General features: G+C 46.4%; 1 protein-coding gene and 1 long non-coding RNA gene across 3 annotated transcripts in view, besides 9 other annotated features; one reads left to right on the top strand and one right to left on the bottom strand.

The window, feature by feature from the left end:
* The window catches only part of JMY (junction mediating and regulatory protein, p53 cofactor), a 91,081-nt gene extending 85,990 nt beyond the window's left edge, over window positions 1-5,091 (bottom strand). The window contains exon 1 of the mRNA NM_152405.5: window positions 3,540-5,091. Coding sequence (NP_689618.4) covers window positions 3,540-4,571 — 1,032 coding nt within the window. The 5' untranslated portion in view covers window positions 4,572-5,091. The remainder of the gene's footprint in view (window positions 1-3,539) is intronic.
* Window positions 3,530-3,949: an enhancer, noted in NCBI's record as "active region_22722". NCBI's record gives its function as "activates an Ori minimal core promoter by ATAC-STARR-seq in GM12878 lymphoblastoid cells {active_cell/tissue: GM12878}" and the evidence as "EXISTENCE:reporter gene assay evidence [ECO:0000049][PMID:35858748]".
* Window positions 3,562-3,856: a silencer, noted in NCBI's record as "tiled region #9907; K562 Repressive DNase unmatched - State 1:Tss". NCBI's record gives its function as "represses a minimal TATA promoter and a strong SV40 promoter by Sharpr-MPRA in K562 cells {active_cell/tissue: K562}" and the evidence as "EXISTENCE:reporter gene assay evidence [ECO:0000049][PMID:27701403]".
* Window positions 4,001-4,637: an enhancer, noted in NCBI's record as "H3K27ac hESC enhancer chr5:78532408-78533044 (GRCh37/hg19 assembly coordinates)". NCBI's record gives its function as "activates a minimal SCP1, AML or CMV promoter by ChIP-STARR-seq in primed H9 embryonic stem cells {active_cell/tissue: H9 hESC(primed)}" and the evidence as "EXISTENCE:reporter gene assay evidence [ECO:0000049][PMID:30033119]".
* Window positions 4,001-5,019: a biological region, named in NCBI's record as "H3K27ac hESC enhancer GRCh37_chr5:78532408-78533044".
* Window positions 4,140-4,409: a silencer, noted in NCBI's record as "silent region_16131". NCBI's record gives its function as "represses an Ori minimal core promoter by ATAC-STARR-seq in GM12878 lymphoblastoid cells {active_cell/tissue: GM12878}" and the evidence as "EXISTENCE:reporter gene assay evidence [ECO:0000049][PMID:35858748]".
* Window positions 4,580-5,019: a silencer, noted in NCBI's record as "silent region_16130". NCBI's record gives its function as "represses an Ori minimal core promoter by ATAC-STARR-seq in GM12878 lymphoblastoid cells {active_cell/tissue: GM12878}" and the evidence as "EXISTENCE:reporter gene assay evidence [ECO:0000049][PMID:35858748]".
* Window positions 5,050-5,099: a silencer, noted in NCBI's record as "silent region_16129". NCBI's record gives its function as "represses an Ori minimal core promoter by ATAC-STARR-seq in GM12878 lymphoblastoid cells {active_cell/tissue: GM12878}" and the evidence as "EXISTENCE:reporter gene assay evidence [ECO:0000049][PMID:35858748]".
* Window positions 5,140-5,189: a silencer, noted in NCBI's record as "silent region_16128". NCBI's record gives its function as "represses an Ori minimal core promoter by ATAC-STARR-seq in GM12878 lymphoblastoid cells {active_cell/tissue: GM12878}" and the evidence as "EXISTENCE:reporter gene assay evidence [ECO:0000049][PMID:35858748]".
* Window positions 5,199-20,112, top strand: part of LOC124901011 (uncharacterized) — a 52,477-nt gene continuing 37,563 nt past the window's right edge. The window contains exons 1-2 of one of the 2 annotated variants that reach the window (XR_007058835.1): window positions 5,199-5,411; window positions 17,296-19,703. This is a non-coding gene — a long non-coding RNA (uncharacterized LOC124901011). Of the gene's footprint in view, window positions 5,412-17,295; window positions 19,704-20,112 lie in introns of those variants that run through there. The other variant, XR_007058836.1, reaches the window with a different exon arrangement.
* Window positions 11,446-11,525: an enhancer, noted in NCBI's record as "active region_22721". NCBI's record gives its function as "activates an Ori minimal core promoter by ATAC-STARR-seq in GM12878 lymphoblastoid cells {active_cell/tissue: GM12878}" and the evidence as "EXISTENCE:reporter gene assay evidence [ECO:0000049][PMID:35858748]".

Raw genomic sequence — 20,112 nt, 5'->3', positions numbered from 1 at the left:
TTGAAAAGCTTACAATCTAGTTGTACAGTCTGTTCTATTAAAAACAAACAAAAAAAAGTTCAACAACTTACTAACCATTTTGAACAAAAACAGGTGATTTTAAGTTGAAACCTTTAAATGGACAGGGAAAGGAATACTGTAGGAAAAAAGACCAAAAAATAGATTCATAGAAATTAAAGAAGGAAAAGGACTAAGTATTGTAAGTGACCAAAGGACTAAGCATTCTAACATATCCTCAAAAGTAACATATCCTCAAGAATGCATTTGATTTATCAGATAAACCTAGCTTGAAAAGCTATAGCCAATTCCACAAACTAAGTCAATAGAATAACACAAACATGGCACAACTTCTATAAAAATGTTACCTTAAAAAATGTTACTGCAAACTATTAAGAAAGCAAAGTTAAATTTAATTAGCTTAAGACAAATACATGGCTAGCATCCTATACACTTTCATTATCATGCCCATGGCAGACATCACCAATCAATCACACCACACTTCCCTCCCTCCCCCAATATAATCTAAAGACACAATCTTCCAGCAGAAGTCAAGATAGGCATTATTACTGAAACTATTTGTTGTCCTTGATGGCTATTTTTCAAATATTGAAGTTGCCGGGTGCAGTGGTTCACGCCTGTAATCCTAGCACTTTGGGAGGCCGAGGCAGTTAGATCACCTGAGGTCAGGAGTTCAAGACCAGCCTGGCCAACACTGGGAAACCCTGTCACTACAAAAATACAAAAATTAGCCAGGCATGGTAGCGGCGACTGTAATCACAGCTACTTGGGAGGCTGAGCAAGGAGAACTGCTTGAACCCGGGAGGTGGAGGTTGCAGTGAGCTGAGATTGCACCAGTACAGTCCAGCCTGGGCAATAGTGCAAAACTCTGTTTGGAGGGGGCGGGGGGAGGCTGGGTGCGGTGGCTCACGCCTGTAATTCTAGCACTTTGGGAAGCTGAGGCAGGCGGATCACCAGGTCAGGAGTTCGAGACCAGCTTGGCCAACATGGTAAAACCCCATCTCTACTAAAAATACAAAAATTAGCCGGACAAGGTGGCACACGCCTATAATCCCAGCTACTCAGGAGGCTGAGGGAGGAGAATCACTGGAACCCGGGAGGCAGAGGTTGCAGTGAGCCAAGATCGCGCCACTACACTTCAGCCTGGGCGACAGAGCGAGACTCCATCTCAAAAAAAAAAAGAAAGAAAAAAAGTATAATTTTCTGTTAAAGAAAATAAATCATTATGGTCAAGAGAACCTTAATTAGGAACACATTTTTTAAAAAATGTAATCCCCTTTTTAAAGAGTTCTAGAAAATTATATTTTTTGAGAGCTTATTTTTGACCCATTTGAATTAAAAAACCGGAGATAGTCGCTTTTTCTCTTTTTCTTTTTCTTTTCTTTTTTTTTTTTGAGACGGAGTCTCGCTCTGTCGCCCAGGCTCGAGTGCACTGGCATGATCTCAGCTCATTGCAAGCTACGCCTCCTGGGTTCACGCCATTCTCCTGCCTCAGCCTCCCAGTAGCTAGGACTACAGGTGCCCGCCACCACACCCGGCTAATTTTTTCTTTTGTATTTTTAGTAGAGACGGGGTTTCACCGTGTTAGCCAGGATGGTCTCGATCTCCTGACCTCGTGATCCGCCCGCCTCGGCCTCCCAAAGTGTTGGGATTACAGGCATGAGCCACCGCGACCGGCCTGACAGTCGCTTTTTCTGAGTATCCAAAAAGTTACAATCAGACAGGCCCATTCATTAAGGGATTTTTAAGAATATGTATTTTAAAAAATATATCTGTAAATCTAATAAGAGAAAGAAGCACTAACGGTTCTTGCAGTTTAAGAGAAATACAGGTCAATATTAACCAAACACTTCTGAGAATATATGTGGTCACTTAAGATTTGTCACTTCCTTCAAAATAATTTAAGGTAGACTCCCGAAGTGAGGTGATAAAAAAGGGAAATAAAAACAGATCCCTGGAACTCTAGGATCATGTTATAGTGGGTGACATTTAGCATACAGTAAACCAACAGGAAGCAGTGAAAATCTGGATTCGGGAAGTTGTAAGAGAGTACTATGGTATAAGTGAGAAACAAACATTTCTTAAATACTCAAATCTAATAAAGAAAAATATCTAATATTCTACGAAAAAAACATGAGGCTCTAGCTCCCTAATCTAACAACAAGGTTCAACTATTATATATACATAAGCAGATAACAACACAATCTTAGGAATATAAACACCATTAAAAGGGGCATTTCAGGCCGGGCACAGTGGCTCACGCCTGTAATCCCAGCACTTTGGGAGGCCGAGGCGGGCGGATCACGAGGTCAGGAGATCGAGACCATACTGGCCAAGATGGTGAAACCCCGTCTCTACTAAAAACACAAAAAGTAGCCGGGCTAACGTGTTAGCCGGGCGTGGTGGCGCGCACCTGTAGTCCCAGCTACTCAGGAGTCTGAGGCAGGAGAATCGCTTGAACCCGGGAGGGGGAGGCTGCAGTGAGCCCAGATGGTGCCACTGTACTCCAGCCTGGGAGACGGAGCAAAACTGCTTCCAAAAAAAAAAAAAAAAAAGAAGGCGCGGAGGGCGGGGGTGCATTTCTCCACCAATCTCAATTGCATTAATAGTAAAAACAGTAACTTGCTTTGAGAAACTACGTGTAGTAGTATCCATTAGGGAAAACTGGGTCTATTTTAAAAGACTTTTTTAGTAAAGTTCCTTCAGCAGAAGCTAGTGAGCAGGCATGAATTACACATTTCCTACACATTCTAGAGCCCCATATGTATATCCATTCAGACCCTTTCTTCCACTTTTTTTTTGTTATTTTAAGGATTAGTTTGAAAAGGCTTTTGTACTTCTACAGTAAGTACAAAAATACAACGAACATTCCTGCCCAGAATCTTTATTTCTACCTAAAACAGCAGTGAAACCTGAGCCATCTGTAAAGACCTGAGGTAGTCCAAAAAAAAAGAAACAAAACACTTCTAAAAAACCTTTTAAAAATAAATTTGCATCCGATAGTCACTAGGTGCTTTTTCACTTAGGTCACTCGTTTAAAAATGAATTTAAAATTTGCGTAGGTTGCCACACTGCACAAAGAAGAATCAAAACAGATCAACTTTGCTCCGTAAGACAAACTATTTTAAATAAAGGTGACAAGGACAAAGAAGAGTTGACATCTGGGCAGTTATTGCTGGAAGAGCTTTAGGGGTAGAAAAATGCTCAGGTAGCCCATGCTTACAGAACACTTTTCTTAGTGGCTTTAATTGCGCATTACCAGTACTGAGTAGTACACAGAGCGCACTTACTACTTTTGATAAATGGGGGAGGAAATAAAGACGAAGGTCCTTCAGAGAGTCAATTAAGCAGCCACCGAGAGGGATGAAGGGCAAGGTAGATCAGGAACCCCTCTTGGTTTCCGCTTGTCCAGAAAAACAACCGTCCTACTGCGCACACCCGACACCGAGGCTCCAGCCTTTGGTTTGGCCAGTAAACCAAAAGCGACCAGTAGAGCCCAGACTAGGAGCTCACTCACTCACCTCCTGGATGCGCTTCCTGGCCCGCTGAAGCACTTCTTCGTAGCCCTTCTGCCGCAGCTCGCTGAGGCTTTCGTAATACTCCTCGGGATCATCGGTCTCGGTGAAGAGCACCTGGGAGAGGATCTTCCAGCCGCAGGTGTCCAGGCCGTGGCCCAGGTAGACCTGGAGCTGGTAACACAGAGTGTCGATTTCCTGCTCGGTCATCTCGGGGGCGCCCCCAAACAGCACAGTCCACATGCCCGAAGGTTCCTCGGGGAACACCGGCAGGCACGGCTCCAACTGCGAGTTCACCGAGCACAGCTGCTGGTGCACGGCGCGCAGGTCCTGGAAAGAAAACAGTCCGGCCCAGCTGCACTCTTCGGCCGGAGACTCCAGCTCGGTGGCGGGCGGCGGCTGCTCCGCGTCCGAGAGCGCCAGAGGTGCCTCGTCCTCCTTCACCATTTCCAGCACCTCTATCTCCTCGGAGACCGTCCCAGAGGCGCTCACTATCCGTACAGAGGACACCTGGGCCTCTCTGGGCGCCGGCCGGGCTGCTGCAGCGGCTGCCCCCGCCGCATCGTCGGCTTCAGATGTTTTCTGACCCGGGATGGGTTTGGCCCGCACTGGGCTCCTAAGACGACTCTCCGCCCCTTTGCTGCCAGGACTCCGCAGCCGCGGGTCCCCCAGAAGGCTGCGAGTGCTCCGAGGAGAGCCGCCCTCCGCCCAGGCCGAGCTCCGCCGGGGCCCGGGGCTCCTAACCAGAGTTGCAGAGGCAGTGGCCTCGGGCCGACCCCTGCCCGCCGGGCTGCCGGGCCCGCGGCTCCCGTCGGACGCAGCTCCGCCGGCCTCGGCGCCCCCTCGCGCCCCCGCTTGCTCCCGGGAGCCGCTCCTCTGCCTCTGGGCCGTCCGGTTGTGGCAGGTTATGGCAAACTTGCCCTCAATCTCGTTCCAGGCCACAATAAAGACGAATTTGTGTTTCTCGCGCTCGTCGAACACATGGGGCCGCACAGCCACCCAGTCCGACTCGAGCGTCTCCTCCAGCGCGAACGACATGGTGGCTCCGGCTTCTCGCCGCGGGGAAGGGCCGCCGGCCCGGCCCGCCCGAGGACTCCCCGCTGGCTGCGCCGCGCCCCCCGCTCACCCTCGCCGGGCGCCTTCAGCCATCTTAGTGCGCCGGCCGGCTCTCCCGGCTCGTTCGCCTGTCCCTCCGCGCCCCGACCGCCGAGCTCCTTTGTGGCGCGGATCGAGAGAAGGACAATAAGCGTCCCGGGAGCAGGTAGTTCACATGGTCACCTGCGGCCGGATCTGTTTACAAGCTCCGCGCTGCCGCAGCGCCTCGCGGCCGCCCGCCGCCCCCCGCGCGAGGCCGTGGAGCTGCGTCTGCGGCGCTCCGGTGGTGAGGCGCGGGTCCCGCGGGGTCAGGCCGGCGCTGTATGCGTCCCGGTCGCTCGCCCAGGTCAAGATCCCCGCCCCCGCCCCTGGTGCTGCTGCAGAAAGCCCGGAGCCGGCCTGACTGATGAACCCGTCTCCTAAACTCTGCGCCTCAGCATCGCCACAATGTTGCCATTCGACTGCTGACGTCGGCGGCTCCACGAGGGACGTAAACATGGGCACGTGCCGCACGCTGGTGACGCGGCGGCGGCGGCGCGCGCACCCCGCCCGCGCGCGCCGGCGCCTCCTCTCGGCGTCCCCTGAGCCAGCCCGCGAGCGGCCGCGCTCCCGACTCTCCTTCCTTCCGCGCAGCCTCCAGTTCCCCGGGGCTGGAGCCGGCTGTCGGCTGGTTGCCGGCTCCGAGGGCGATGAGAGTGGCAGGTGTGCCCTGCTGCACAGGTGGCCTCCGAACCCGGGAAAAGAGGAACTAAGGCGGAGGAACTGAGACGTTTCGAATTCCAGGTATTGAGACCCTCGAATGTACATTTGCCTCCATTCTCCTGGAGGGAGCCCGGACGGAGAGTCGCTCCTGCGTTCAGAAGTAGCGTGTTGCCGCGGGGAACGGTGTGCTGAACTATGTGGGGCTCGCCCCCAGCCTGTTAGGTTCTCCCCTAATGCCCTTGAGACCAAAACAAAAAACAAAAACAATTCCAGAAGCTTTTCTGGAAAGACAGAGTTTAATATATGAAAGGAAGGTGTCTGAGGAAAGCCCAGTAACAGTCCAAAACAAAATGAAAAATGAAAATGCCATGTCCTAACAGCATGAATGTTTACATTTCAGTTCATTGGTGTTTTATTGCTTCAGGTTTCATCATTATGTACTGTTCTGTGAACCTCGTTTTGAGGTCACTGGGCTTTAGCCCTTTTGAAGTTGTATTCAATTATGGGAGTTCCCAGAATGCATATACAAAAACAGTCATATCAATCTCTGCTATTCTTACTAAACTATGATGAAACACATTCTTAAAATTAGTAGACTTTATAATAATTATTGGCATTCTTTTTCCGATTAGTATTCAAGTCACAGATGTTGTGCACCATAGTAAAGCACAATGGAAATTAGTTCTTTTACATTTATTCACATTTCTAAAGTATATACAAAACCGTTTGGATTAGCCTTGTATTGTTAGGTTCAGTAAAAACAGCTGTTTATTCAGATGACAGAACAGTACTGAACTAGCTAAGCTTCAAACTTAGTTCAGTATTGTCCATCTTAAACTCTAAGCTTCAACACTTGGTTCAGTATTGTCCTGATATTTGAATAAACAGCCAAAAAAAATTTTTTTTTTGAGACAGAGTCTCACTCTGTGGCCCAGGCTGGAGCACAGTGGCACGATGTCAGCTTACTGCAGCCTCTGCCTCCCGGGTTCAAGCGATTCTCCTGCCTCAGCCTCCCAAGTAGCTGGGATTACAGGCACACACCACCAAGCCCGACTAATTTTTGTATTTTTATTAGAGACGGGGTTTCTTCATGTTGGCCAAGCTGGTCTCGAACTTCTGGCCTCAGGTGATCCGACCGCCTTGGCCTCTCAAAGTGCTGGGATTACAGTCGTGAGCCACTGAGCCCAGCTGGTTTTTAACATTTTGTACAGTTCATTATTTGAAACCACAAATTTTCAAAGTTTGTAACTGAGTTTGTGTCAAATCTCAAATGCAAGTCAGAGACACGTTCTGAAAGGCAAAAAAGAGAGAAAACCCATTTCAAATCTGAATTACGGGGCTGGGCATGGTGGCTGACGCCTGTAATCCCAGCACTTTGGGAGGCTGAGGTGGGCAGATCACTTGAGGTCAGGAGTTCAAGACCAGCCTGGACAACATGGTGAAACCCCGTCTCTATAAAAAATACAAAATTAGTCGGGTGTGGTGGCACGTGCCTGTAATCCCAGCTACTTGGGAGGCTGAGGCAGGAGAATTGCTTGAACCCGGGAGGCGAAGGTTGCAGTGATCTGAGATCATGCCACCGCACTCCAGCCTGGGGGACAGAGACTCCACCTCAAAAAAGAAAAAAGAAAAAAGGTTTGAATTACCAGCTAAGCAAACAATAGCACATTGTAGAAAACTTTCTCTTCTTTTTTGCTAAAAAGCAACTGCAAAAAGCTAGTTTTTCTGATAAAGCATTACTGACATGATCCCATTATGTATAATTGTGAATACAGAGAATGAGTATTAAAAGAATTTGTTTACAAGTTCTCTTCAGAGTAGAGGACAAGAAAAAGAAAAAAATTATTATTTAAAAAAATAGTCCGGGTGCGGTGGCTCACGCCTGTAATCCCAGCACTTTGGGAGGCTAAGGTGGGCAGATCGCAAAGTCAGAAGTTCGAGACTAGCCTGGCTAACATGGTGAAACCCCGTCTCTACCAAAAATCCAAAAATTAGCTGGGCGTTGTGGCAGGTGCCTGTAATCCCAGCTACTCGGGAGGCTGAGGCAGGAGAATCGTTTGAACCCGGGAGGCAGAGGTTGCAGTGAGCTGAGATCGTGCCATTGCACTCCAGTGCCTGGGCAACAAGAGCGAAACTCCGTCTGAAAAAAATAAAAAATAATAATATTTTGGCTGGATGGCTGGACACAGTGACTCATGCCTGTAATCCAAATGCTTTGGAAGAATTGCTTGAGCCCAAGAGTTTAAGAGCAGCCTGGGCAACATGGGGAGACCCTGCCTCTACAAAAAAATAAAATAGACCGGGCGCGGTGGCTCCAGCCTGTAATCCCAGCACTTTGGGAGGCTGAGGCGGGTGAATCACCTGAGGTCGGGAGTTCGAGACCAGCCTGACCAACATGGAGAAACCCCATCTCTACTAACAATACAAAATTCACCAGGTGTGGTGGTACATGCCTGTAATCCCAGCTACTTGGGAGACTGAGGCAGGAGAATCTCTTGAACCCGGGAGGCGGAGGTTGCGGTGAGCAGAGATTGCTCGATTGCACTCCAGCCTGGGCAATGAGCAAAACTCCGTCTCAAAAAAATAAAAATAAAAAATAAAATAAAATAAATAGCTGGCCATGGTGGTATGCACCTGTGGTCCCAGCTACTTGGGAGGCTGAGGTGGGAGAACTGCTTGAGCTCAGGAGGTCAAGGCTGCAGTGAGCCATGATCGCACCACTGCAGTCCAGCCTGGGCAACAGAGTGGGACTCTGTCTCAAAATAAATAAATAGACCAGGTGTGGTGGCTCATGTCTGTAATCCCAGCACTTTGGGAGGCCGAGGTGGGTGAATCACTAAAGGTCAGCAATTCGAGACCAGCCTGGCCAACATGGTGAAACCCCATCTCTGCTAAAAATACAAAAATTAGCCAAGCGTGGTGGTGGGCACCTGTAATCCCAGGCTGTAATCGGGAGGCTGAGGCAGGAGAATCACTTGAACCTGGGAGGCAGAAGTGGCAGTGAACCGAGATTGCGCCACTTCACTCCAGCCTGGGCAACAGAGCAAGACTTCGTCTCAAAAATAAATAAATAAATGGAAATAAAGAATGTTATAAGAAATATTTTATGTGCACGTATATTAAAATTATAATATTTCGTCAAGTGGTGTTAAGAGTAAAATAACATGAAATTATATTTATTCATGGATAGAAAATTTTATCTTATCAGAATAGTGATACACAAAATTGGTTCACAGTTACACAGGTGTTAAGTATTTCCTCTCAATACACTGGCCACTGTGTTTTGTCAAATGAGATGTTTCAGTGTTTCTTGTTCGTGCTATGTTAGTAACTGTTATCCTAGAAATGAAGAGAAACAAACCAAAATTCCCATGATAGGTTACTATAGTACTCTACAATTCTTTGTTTAGGTCTGTATCTGATTGCCAAGCAAGATCTCTCAGTGTATAAGTTACTCCCTGGGAATAAGCAAAGCTACAGAAAAACCCCACATACACCATACCAGCCTTCAAAGGGCTTAAAACTATTATCTGTTTGAAGTTTTTAGAACTATTGTGCATCTTTAGGTAATTCAGGAAATGCTTTAACTCTTTAGAACTTTTCATAAAAACTATAATAGTTTACATAGTGATTTTCAAATTATATAGCATTTTCTCACCTCATAATAACCATGAAATGTAGGTATGAAAGGAATAAGCATCTTTAATTTATATAGGAGAAAACAGCAGTTCAGATTAGTTAGGTTACACATCCCAGGGTTGGGAGCAGGGAGCAACTTCAGTTCCGGGGTCCATTTGCAAATCCACTGGTGTCTCAGTTAGATTCTCCCGGAAGCAGACACTGAGAAGTAGGAACGCAAAAAATTTATGGGGTGCCGGGTGCGGTGGCTCATGCCTGCAATCCCAGCACTTTGGGAGGCTAAGGTGGGCGGTCACTTGAGGTCAGGAGTATGAGACCAGCCTGGCCAATATGGTGAAACCCCGTCTCTACTAAAAATATAAAAATTAGCCGGGCGTGGTGGCACAAGCCTGTAGTCCCTGCTACTTGGGAGGCTGAGGCACGAGAATCGCTTGAACCCGAAAGGTGGAGGTTGCAGTGAGTCGAGATCATGTCACTGCACGCCAGCCTAGGCATCAGAGTGAGACTCTGTCTCAAAACGAAAAAAAAAAAAGTATGGAGGCGACCCCTGTGGAAGAGAAGGGGAAGGGGCAGAGGCAGAATCAGGCAGGCTAATCCAACAGGGAGTTCTGAGGCAAAAATTTCCCTTAAAGAAGTTCCTCATGGCCAGGCACGGTGGCTCATACCTCTAATCCCAGCACTTTGGGAGGCCAAGGCGAGTGGATCACCTGAGGTCAGGAGTTCAAGACTAGCCTGACCAACATGGAGAAAACCCATCTCTACTAAAAATACAAAATTAGCCAGGCGTGGTGGCGCATGCCTGTAATCCCAGCTACTTGAGAGGCTGAGGCAGGAGAATCACTTGAACCCAGGAGGAGGAGGTTGCAGTGAGCCAAGATCACACCATTGCACTCCAGCCTGGGCAGCAAGAGCGAAACTCTGTCTCAAAAAAAAAAAAAAAAAAAAAGAAGTTCCTCTCATTGGGTAGATATAGCCAGGCCTTGCTCAGTCATTGGCTGGGGACCACCCTGAGAAAAGCACAGGATAAAAACCTGAAGCTGATGCTGAAGACACTAACAGGTGGGGAGTGTCCACTTACCATACTCCTTGCAGCTGAGGGGTGGCTCCTTTCTAGAAGGGGGATCTAACTGACACATCTTCACAACTGCCACAGTTTACCTTGTGTGCCACATGGATCCACTTCATAAAAACACGTGGGAAGCATCTCCTCTAGGGCTCTGGTAGGCCTCTGTTCCCGAGGGAAAACAAAAGAGGGAGGTTATTGGGGCAAACTACAGCCTCCATAGCCACAGCTGATCTCGCAGCCACAACTGGTGCTCCTTTTTCTCTTTTCTTTTTAATTTTTGTTTGTTTGTTTAAGACAGGATCTTGCTCTGTCACCCAGGCTGGAGTGCAGTGGTGCAATCTTGGCTTACTGCAGCATCTACCTCCTGTGCTCAAGCAATCCTCCCACCTCAACATCCTGAGTAGCTTGGGACCATAGGTATGCGCCACCACGCTCAACTAATTTTTTTTTGTAGCGACGGGTGTCTCCTTATGTTGCCCAGACTGGTTCCGAACCCCTGAGTTCAAGCTGTCCTCCTGCCTTGGCTTACCAAGGTGCTAGGACATTTACAAGATACACAAGCAGTAAGGGTGCACCTAGCACAGCAGTGGTCCTCGGAAACCAAAAGTGTTCTCCCCACTGGAGGCCACATACAAGATTCCATCTGTATCTTTTTCCTTCTAGTAAAGCTCTCCTATAGTTAGGCTGGACTGTTTTTTGGTTTTTGTTTGTTTGTTTGTTTGTTTTTTGAGATGGAGTTCCGCTCTTGTTGCCCAGGCTGGAGTGCAATGGCACCATCTCGGCTCACTGCAACCTCTGCCTCCCAGGTTCAAGCGATTCTCCTGCCTCAGCCTCCCGAGTAGCTGGGGTTACAGGTATGTGCCACCATGCCTGGCCAATTTTTTGTATTTTTAGTAGAGACTGGGTGTTTCCATATTGGTAAGGCTGATCTCGAACTCCTGACCTCAGGTTATCCAGCTGCCTCGGCCTCCCAAAGTGCTGGGATTACAGGTATGAGCCACCATGCCTCACCAGGCTGGACTGTTTTATCCACAAACAGAAGATGCCTTTTCAGAAGGAAGATGGATCCTTTTTGTGATGATCCACAAGAACTGAGCCACAGATGGAACTGAATGGCTGTCAGATGGAACCAAGTTCTTCCGTTTGTCAGTGTCAACAATCTGAGAGCCTGAGACTTTTTTTTTCCACAATCACCGGAACCCGGTCAGGATATTTTACTCTGATCTTCGGGAACTGCACGCATCTGTTTTCTAGCGAGTGGTTCTCCTTGAACATCCACTTCAGGGTGGTGGCAGGGAGGGGACATAGCCGGCTCTAGAAACCACAGAGCTCAGCACAACCACCATGACAACAATGGCAGTGGCAACAACACACAGGCCTGTTCTTTACTCTTAAGGGAATGTCCTGACCACAGGATGTGCAGAAACTTTACTGAGGTAGAAAGTACCTAATTTTTTTACGGTTTATCTCGCTCTAGAGTGCATGTGCCTTACCAGCATTTCCAGCATGATAGTATTCTCTTACTAATCCTGGCCTGATCAGCATGATGTCATCAATGTAATGAATGAATCAACATGATATTCTGCAATTTGTCCAGATGGTCCCAATGTCTTCAGGCTATATTATGACAGATGGTCAAAGAATTAACATGGCCCTGGAGCACATTGTTGCTGATCTTCTTTCCTAACTGAGATAGAAGAGAACACATTTGCCAAATCAGTGGCTGCATACTGTGTACCAGAGACTGTATTATCTGTTTTAGGAAAGACACCACATCTGGCCAGGCAGCTGTGATCAGGTCTATTTCTTGGTTGAACGTTAGTCTCCAGGATCTGTCTGGTTTTTGCAAGGACCAGACCAGCAAATTAAACAGAGGTAGGTTAGGGACCAGCATGCCTGCATCTTTAAGAGTGGCCCTAACTTCTGCCATCCCTCTCCAGGATTATACTGGTTTTGATTCACTATCTTGGTGGGAGGGAGGCAGTTTGGGAGGCTTCTACCAGACCTTCCCCATTATCATAGCCCCCACCAACAGGTACAGCCTGTGGGTTACTCTGCCACAGTGTCAATCCCAATGAGATATTTGGGGACCAGGGAAATATTCACCAGGTAGTTTCATAGACCACTGGACTCACTCCTGGGCCAGGGCTTCATTTACTGGCCCCTGTAGGCCCCCCCTCTAACACAGCCCATGATGATGTTTCCAGTCATTGGGTATCTGTGTCAACTTGGACCCTGTCTCCAGAAGTTCCTGGAATGTTGGAGTAAATCCCTCACTCCAGTGAACAGTCACTCATGTCTTCCACAGAAGAACTGGAGAAATCACTATGTATTGCAGGGTTCTTGGTACTGGGATCTGGCCATCTCTTAAAGCAATGGGCACTAGGTCTGAAAACTGATTTAGGTGCAGAAACTGGGCAAGAGAGATCCTTTTGGGTAACTGCCCTCAACCTCCTGCTCATCTACCCTTGCTCTATTTTGATCATGTACATTAAGCAGTGCCTGTTGGCTGCCCAGCTATTTTGCCCCCAGGGATGTTGTTTTCTATTAACCATAACTGTGGACATTGTGACCCTCTGGCTTTTGGTGGTGAAGTGCTACCACCTGGCCTCTGTTGTTCAGGTCTTTTCATCGCCATTGCTATTCGTGAGCCAAATTATGTGACTGCTTCACTGACCATTAACCCTGGCCTGTGGAGGAGAGCCACACTGAACTTCATCACCATGCTAGGGCCCCTGCCATCATCATATTACTAATGCTCTTGGTAAATGTGTGTCCTTTGAGCTTTCCTGGAGAACATACTCCTTATTTTGGCCCCGTGTAATTTATCCATTCCAGCATTCCCACTTCCTGAGCCTTTTACTCCCTTTCTCTTCCCTATACCATGGGAAGCATTTTAATACAGTCTCTGTGAGGGCCATTGCTTTTTTCAGGCTTCTAGGAGTACCCTGGTAGCAAGTTTCATCATCCCCTGGATGCAGCCTCACTCCTTGCATTCAGTAGCAAATTCTTTAAGGGGGATCTGAGCAGTTCGTGTCCTGATCTGCTATGAGTACCCTTTTTGGTATTGTACATTATATCAATTATGGCCAATTATCCTTATTTTCAACTCCCGAGTGGCTAGACAGGAAAAAGAAAGAAATGATGTGAGGAAAGTTGGGAAGCTCTGCACAGTGATCCCTGAGAGCCCTGGCACCACTTTAGGAGACGTGGTAGGTCACTCTGTACATGTTCTTCCTCAGCAAGGGGGGTTTTCCCAAAAGGGACACAAGAAGAAATCTTACTCAGTGGAGTAAATGGAAAGAAGAGGGAGCATGTCTGTCTGGTTCCTTCCTATTTCTCCTTTCCTCAGAGTCAAGTTTCACCCCACAGGGAGTTCACGCTTCCATGTTGCCTCATCCAGCCCTTCAGGAAGCCAGAGTCTGTGCTCCAGTGTGGCATTTCAGCCAACCTAGAAATGAAGGGTGACTTAGCACAGAGAGGTTCAACAAGTGGGGCATGCAGGCCACTGATCTCTGCAAGGGCAGCAGTGCCGGGGTGCTCTGGGATACAGGCAGTGCCTTCGGAAAGAAGGGCAATTGAAGACAGTTGAGAAGGTGAACAAAGTTTACATCTAACAAATTTTAAAGTTTTATTATTTTTATTTTTATATTCTTGGGGTCTCACTATTTTGCCCAGGCTGGAGTGCAGCAGCTATTTGCAGGCTGAATCCCACTACTGATCAGTACTGGAGTTTTATTTTATTTAATTAACTTATTTATTTTGAGACAGAGTCTTGCTCTATTGCTCAGGCTGGAGTGCAGTGTTGCGATCTCGGCTCACTGCAGTCTCGACCTCCCAGGCTCAATCGATCCTGCCACCTCAGCCTCTGGAGTAGCTGGGACTACCTGTAGGTGCGTGCCACCACGCCCAGGTAATCTTTTATTTTTTGTAGATACCAGTTATCCTATGTTGCCCAGGCTGGTCTCCAACTCCTGGGCTCAAGCAATCCTCCCACCTCAGCCTCCCTAAGTGCTGAGATTACAGGTGTGAGTCACTGTGCCCAGCCAACCTGGACTATTCTAAATTTTAACAGTGCCTAAGAGAATCATGCTTAATTAAAAACTAGCTGGACGTGGTGGCTTACGCCTGTAATCCCAGCACTTTGGGAGGCCGAGATGGGCGGATCCCTTGATTCCAGGAGTTCAAGTCCAACCTGGGCAGCACGAAGAAACCCTCATCTCTACCAAAAATACAAAAATTAGCCAGGCATTGTGGTGTATACCTGTAGTCCCAGCTGCTTGGGAGGATGAGGCAGGAGGATTGCTGGAGCCTGGGAGGTGGAGGTTGCAAAAAAATAATGACTTTTAGTGTTACTGCAGATGCAACGCATGTTCACTGTAGACCAATTTAAAACTATAGATAAACCAAAACAACAAACTTTTTCTTTTTTTTAAGAGACGGAGTCTCGCTCTGTTGCCCAGGCTGGAGTGCAGTGGTGCAATCTCGGCTCGCTGCAACCTCAGCCTCCCAGGTTCTAGCAACTCCTGCCTCAGCCTCTTGAGTAGCTGGGACTACAGGCGCACACCACCACACCCATCTAATTTTTTGTATTTTAGTAGAGACGGGGTTTCACCTTGTTATCCACTGTGGTCTCAAACTCCTGAGCTCAGACAATCCGCCCGCCTCGCCTCCCAAAGCGCTAGGATTACAGGGGTGAGCCACCACACCCGGCCAAGAAACTTTAAATACTACCTAGAGACAATCCCTTTTAAAACTTTAGTGTATGTCTTTTTATACCATTTTCTAGGCTTCTAGGCTCATTTGCAAAAATGAGATACCACTGTAAATACTTAATCTGTAAATTATCTTTTTCAGGAGTCTCTCTGAGTCTTCTGGCTCAGGGAGCTGTCCTATAACATAAATAAGTAAATTTTTTTTTACAATGGTTGTTGAAGATACTAATAAATATTCAGGGCTGGGCACAGTGGTTTATAGCTGTAATCCCACCACTTCGGGAGGTCAAGGTGGGAGGATTGCTTTAGCCCAGGAGTTTGAGACCAGCCTGGGGAACATAATGAGACCCATCTGTAAAAAAAGAAAATTAAATTCACCTTTAGTATTATCTTATTAAAATTCCATTGTGCATTTACACAATCATTTACCTTATCAGTCCCTTCAGAAGAACATTTAAGTTGTTATCACTTACATCCTTGCAGCTAAATCTTTGAGTACATCCTAATACCTGTCTGTTTTTAATGACCTATCTAAGGAATCCTTTGAAACCTATACACTTAACCACTGTGTTAGCTAAGAGCCTCCAAAAAGGCTGGGTGTGGCGGCTCATGCCTATAATCCCAGCACTTTGGGAGTCCGAGGCGAGTGAATCACTTGAGGTCAGGAGTTCGAGACCAGCCGGGCCAACATGGTGAAACCCCGTCTCTACAAAAAATGCAAAAATTAGTTGGGCATGGTGGCTCACTCCTGTAGTCCTGGCTACTCAGGAGGATAAGTGGAAGGATGGCTTAAGCTCAGGAGGTAGAGATTGCAATGAGCCAAGATTGTGCCACTGCACTACAACCTGGGCAACAGAGCCAGACCCTGTCTCAAAAAAAAAAAAAAAATCCTCCAAGAAGCAGTCACAAAAATGGGATCAGATGTGCAAGAGATTTTGGTAGGGGAAATGCCTATGGAGGAAAATGAGAAGGAAGCTGGAGCAAGAACAGAGCAAGGATGATCCAGGTCAGACCCATATGAAGGAGAGGGAGAGGAAAGGAAATTTCAGTAAGAAGCATGTTAAGAGTAGAGTCCATCTAAGAAAGTTTTCACTAGGCCAATGGGGAATCCTCAAGGCAAAGTTACCTGAATTTTGAGTCTCACAGAAGCAGGCCTGCCTGTCTTCCTGCCACACTCAGTCATTGGCTGAGAGCAGCCTAGGGGAGTGTGGTGGATTCCAAATGCAGCAGTCAGGGCCCTCAGTCTGTCATGCTGGGAGATCTGAAAGGAACGTTCTCATGGCTGCCACGAACACCATCTGTGCTTTAAAAAGATTTGGTACTACTCATTCACTGATTCATGACACATTGAGAACACAAATATGAATAGGGATGTGGTGTTTACATTCTAGTAATTCACTTCAGTTTGAGTGGATTATTACAAATAGTTTTTTCAGAAGTAGACTTTCAGAATCTCCTAAGCAGATTTTCAGAGTGTGGCTTCATTATGTTGTTTGAAATAATTTTTCAAATTCCAAGCTAAATAATAAATGGAGTTTGAGTTCTTCCTCACTTTGTAGTACTCCTTTCTCTATTCATCTTACCTAATGTAAAAAATCTGAATATAACTTAATAAAGTTTAGAACTGAAAGCACCTGTGCAAAATTATGACAGAGAACTCTGACATAGTTGACTCCATCTTGCTTCTGACCTCCAAGCTGTCCTTGGTCATTCTTGTGCATAGGCCAAGCTAACGTTGGGAGAAATTTGTAGTTTAACTTGAAAGCAAGGATGATAAACAGTCTCTCCCTCCCTCCTTGCTCAGGGACTGACAACTGCCTTTGTAAGACTAATGAAAGGCCGAAAGATTAGGATTATGGGAGGGGTCTGAACTCTGATAAAATGTAGTATAGTTTGTATAATCCCTTACTGCTCAGGATTCATGTGGCCAGAGGTCACAAGGTAGGTATAGTCTCTACAGTCTCTTACAGCTCAGGAGTCATGCGGTCAGAGGTCACAAGATTTGTGACTTCCCCAATTGCTCCTATAGATAACATCACTATTGTAGAACCTAAAATGGGTTTTTTGAGAGATTTTTCAGACTTGATCCCACCTGGCCTGGTGACTCAACTGGTTCTATGGCCCCATCCAGAGGCAGACTCAGCACAAGGACCATTTTCCAAACGCCTATGATTTCCATCCCCAACCAATCAGCAGCACCGATTCCCTAGCCCCGTCACCAAATTGTCCATAAAAACTCTAACCTGAAAGCCTTTGGGGAGACTGATTTGAGTGATAACCCCAGTTCTCCCATGTGGTTGGTCTCATGTCAATTAAACTCTTGCTCTACTGCAGTGAATTCATTTTATCTGTGCAGTGGGCAAGAAGAACCCATCTGGCAATTACAGAACCTAGAACAATAACAGCATTTCTAAAAAGTGTTTTCGAGAAAAAGAATAATACACACATCCCCAAATGCACATTTTGTCTTACTTTTTATTCATTATATCCCTTATATATATAATATTACAATATATTTATGGTATTTTTTGTTTTTGTTTTTAAGATGGAGTCTGGCTCTGCCGCCCAGGCTGAAGTGTGGTGCAATCCCAGCTCACTGCAATCTCCGCCTCCCGGGTTCAAATGGTTCTCCTGCCTCAGCTTCCCAAGTAGCTGGGATTACAGGTGCCCACCACCATGCCCAGCTAATTTTTGTATTTTTAGAAGATACAGGGTTTCACCATGTTGGTCAGGCTAGTTTTGAACTCCTGACCTCATGTAATCCGCCCCTCCTCATCCTCCCAAAGTGCTGGGATTACAGGCATGAGTCACGGCACCCGACCAATATATACATATCTGGTTTTCTGTTAGAGTTTTATAGATGCTTTAACAAATTACCACAAACTTAAAGACTTAAAACTCAAACTTATTAAAGTTCAAGAGGTCAGAAGTCTGAAATGAGCCTTACTGGGCTAAAACCAAGGTGTCTGAAGGGCTGCATTCCTTCTGGAGGCTCTAGAACGGAATCCATTTCCATGCTCTCTCTAGCTTCAAGATACTCCCCACATTTCCAGGCTGTAGCCTCCTTGCTTCATCTTATAAGCCAGCAACAGTGGGTGAAGTTCTTTTCTCAGTACATCAGTCTTTCTCAGGGACAGATCCTACTTCTGTTACCATGTCTTTCTCTGACTCTTGACTCCTGCCTTCCTATTCCAATTCTAAGGACCCTGTGATTACATTAGTCCCACCTGGATAGTCCAGGATGCTCTATTTTTGTTTGCTTTTATTTTTAATTTTTATTATTATTTTTAAACAGAGTCTCACTCCGTCACCCAGGTTGGAATGCAATGGTGCAATCTTGGCTCACTGCAACCTCTGCCTCCCAGGTTCCAGCGATTCTCCTGCCTCAGCCTCCTGAGTAGCTGGGATTACAGGCATGCACTGCCACACCTGGATAATTTTTGTATTTTTAGTAGAGATGGGGTTTAGCCATGTTGGCCAGGTCGGTGTCAAACTCCTGACCTCAAGTGACCCACATAACAGCAGAGGTACTGCTCTTTGCAGAGAAGGGCTACCCCGTAGGCAATGCGCCCAGAGTAGCCGTGGATAATCTATTTTAAGGTCAGATGATTAGCAATCTTAATGCCATCTGTAGCCTTCATTCTCCTTTCTCCCTTTGCTAATTCACATATTCACAGGTTTCACAGATAAGCACACGTACATATTGTGTTGTGGGGGTATTATTCTGCCCCCAGGTCTTATAGCCAAAGCCTCCAATAGAGTGTTGATTAGGAACTTCTGGTATTTATTAGTCGTCTTCTGGACATTCACGAAAATAATTTTACAAATTTATCATTCTTAAGGTATTTGTCATAGATACCTTTTGGTAGTTATATATTATTATATAAGTTTTCTACTTCTTTTTTTTTTTTTTTTTAGTAGAGACAGGTTTTCCCCATGTTGCCCAGGCTGGTCTGGAACTCTTGGCCTCAAGTGATCCGCCCACCTCAGCCTCCCAAAGTGTGGGATTACAGGCATGAGTCACCACACCTGGCCAGAAAGTTTTCTTCTATTTTTTGTTGTTGAGACAGTGTCTCACTCTGTCTTCCAGGCTGGAGTGCAATGGCATGAGCACAGCCCACTGAAGCCTCAACCTCCCGGGTCAAGCAATCCTCCCACCTCAGCCTTCCTAGTAGCTGGGACTGTAGGTGTGCACCACCACGCCTGGCTAATCTTTGTATTTTTTGTAGAGATGGGGTTTTGCCATAGGCTGTTTTCTTCTATTCTATGGTTCTCATAATACTACTTTGTAACAAGCCATTCTAAGATTTAAAGTGATGCAAAAACAATGATTTATTATTGTTTCTCTTGTCTCTGTAGGGCTTGGTTGGTGGTTCTGGGCTTGCTTGGGTGGTTCTCACTTGGGGCTTGACCAGGCTGGACATCCAATATGGCTTCTCCACTCATGTGTCTGGTGCTTCCGTGCTCCTCCATATGGCCTCTCTCTCCCACAGAGTAACTTGTAGCATTTATTGAGATAATCACATTTTTCTTCATTAATCTGTTAATGTTGACGGAATTTAACGCACTGGTTGTTTACTAGGGTGTGCCCTTTGTTGAAAAGAATAGGAGGGAGTGGAGAGGGAAGATGAAGACATCATGCTGTGATGGGGGCCCAATAGCCCTGACTCCATGGGGAGCTATGGAGCTAGGTTGCTCCTACAGTGGGCTAGGTGTCTATGCATTCGCCCAGTCATGGGATGTGGGTTGTCCTTGGAAGGGTCAACCTTGGGTGAAACTGAAATGATTCTCTAAAGGGACTGAAAGCTGGATGAACGTTGTACACTGACAGCACTCTCAGCAGTTGAGGCAACAAGCCTTTCCTTGAAAGAAGATCTGGGCTATGCCTCTCCATGTCTGCCATAAGGTTCATAGTATTATTATTATTAAGTCAATAAATTTTCATTCAAGAAATTTCATGTTGAGGTTCCTTCCACTGTCCATCAAGGAACTAAAGTTCCTCTAAAGAGTTGGAGTCAAAAGTTATCTTCAATAGATTTATCTTCAAATTAGCCCTTTTTAATAGAAGTGATGCTTAATTCAGTTATCCCGTCATACCATAATTCTTTATTTTGGCTTCTTTCATCTCCTTTTAATATGGATATATTCACGGAGGCTTCAAAATTCACCTATGGAAAAAATCAATAATCTTTGGGATCTAATTTCTACAACCAATTTACTTTAGGGTAATTTTTAGAGTAGGTGGATCTTCCTGGTTCTCAATTTGACACCCTCTCTAAACATGTGTTCAATCATACTCATTTCTAAGCTATCACACTCAAGAATAATAGTACAGATCTGTGGAATATGCCAATATCTACAG

The sequence above is a fragment of the Homo sapiens genome, chromosome 5 (genome assembly GCF_000001405.40).
Source record: "Homo sapiens chromosome 5, GRCh38.p14 Primary Assembly".
NCBI classification, from domain to species: Eukaryota; Metazoa; Chordata; class Mammalia; order Primates; family Hominidae; genus Homo; species Homo sapiens.
Note: the sequence above shows the minus strand (reverse complement) of the source record. Positions and strands in the feature narration are given on the sequence as shown.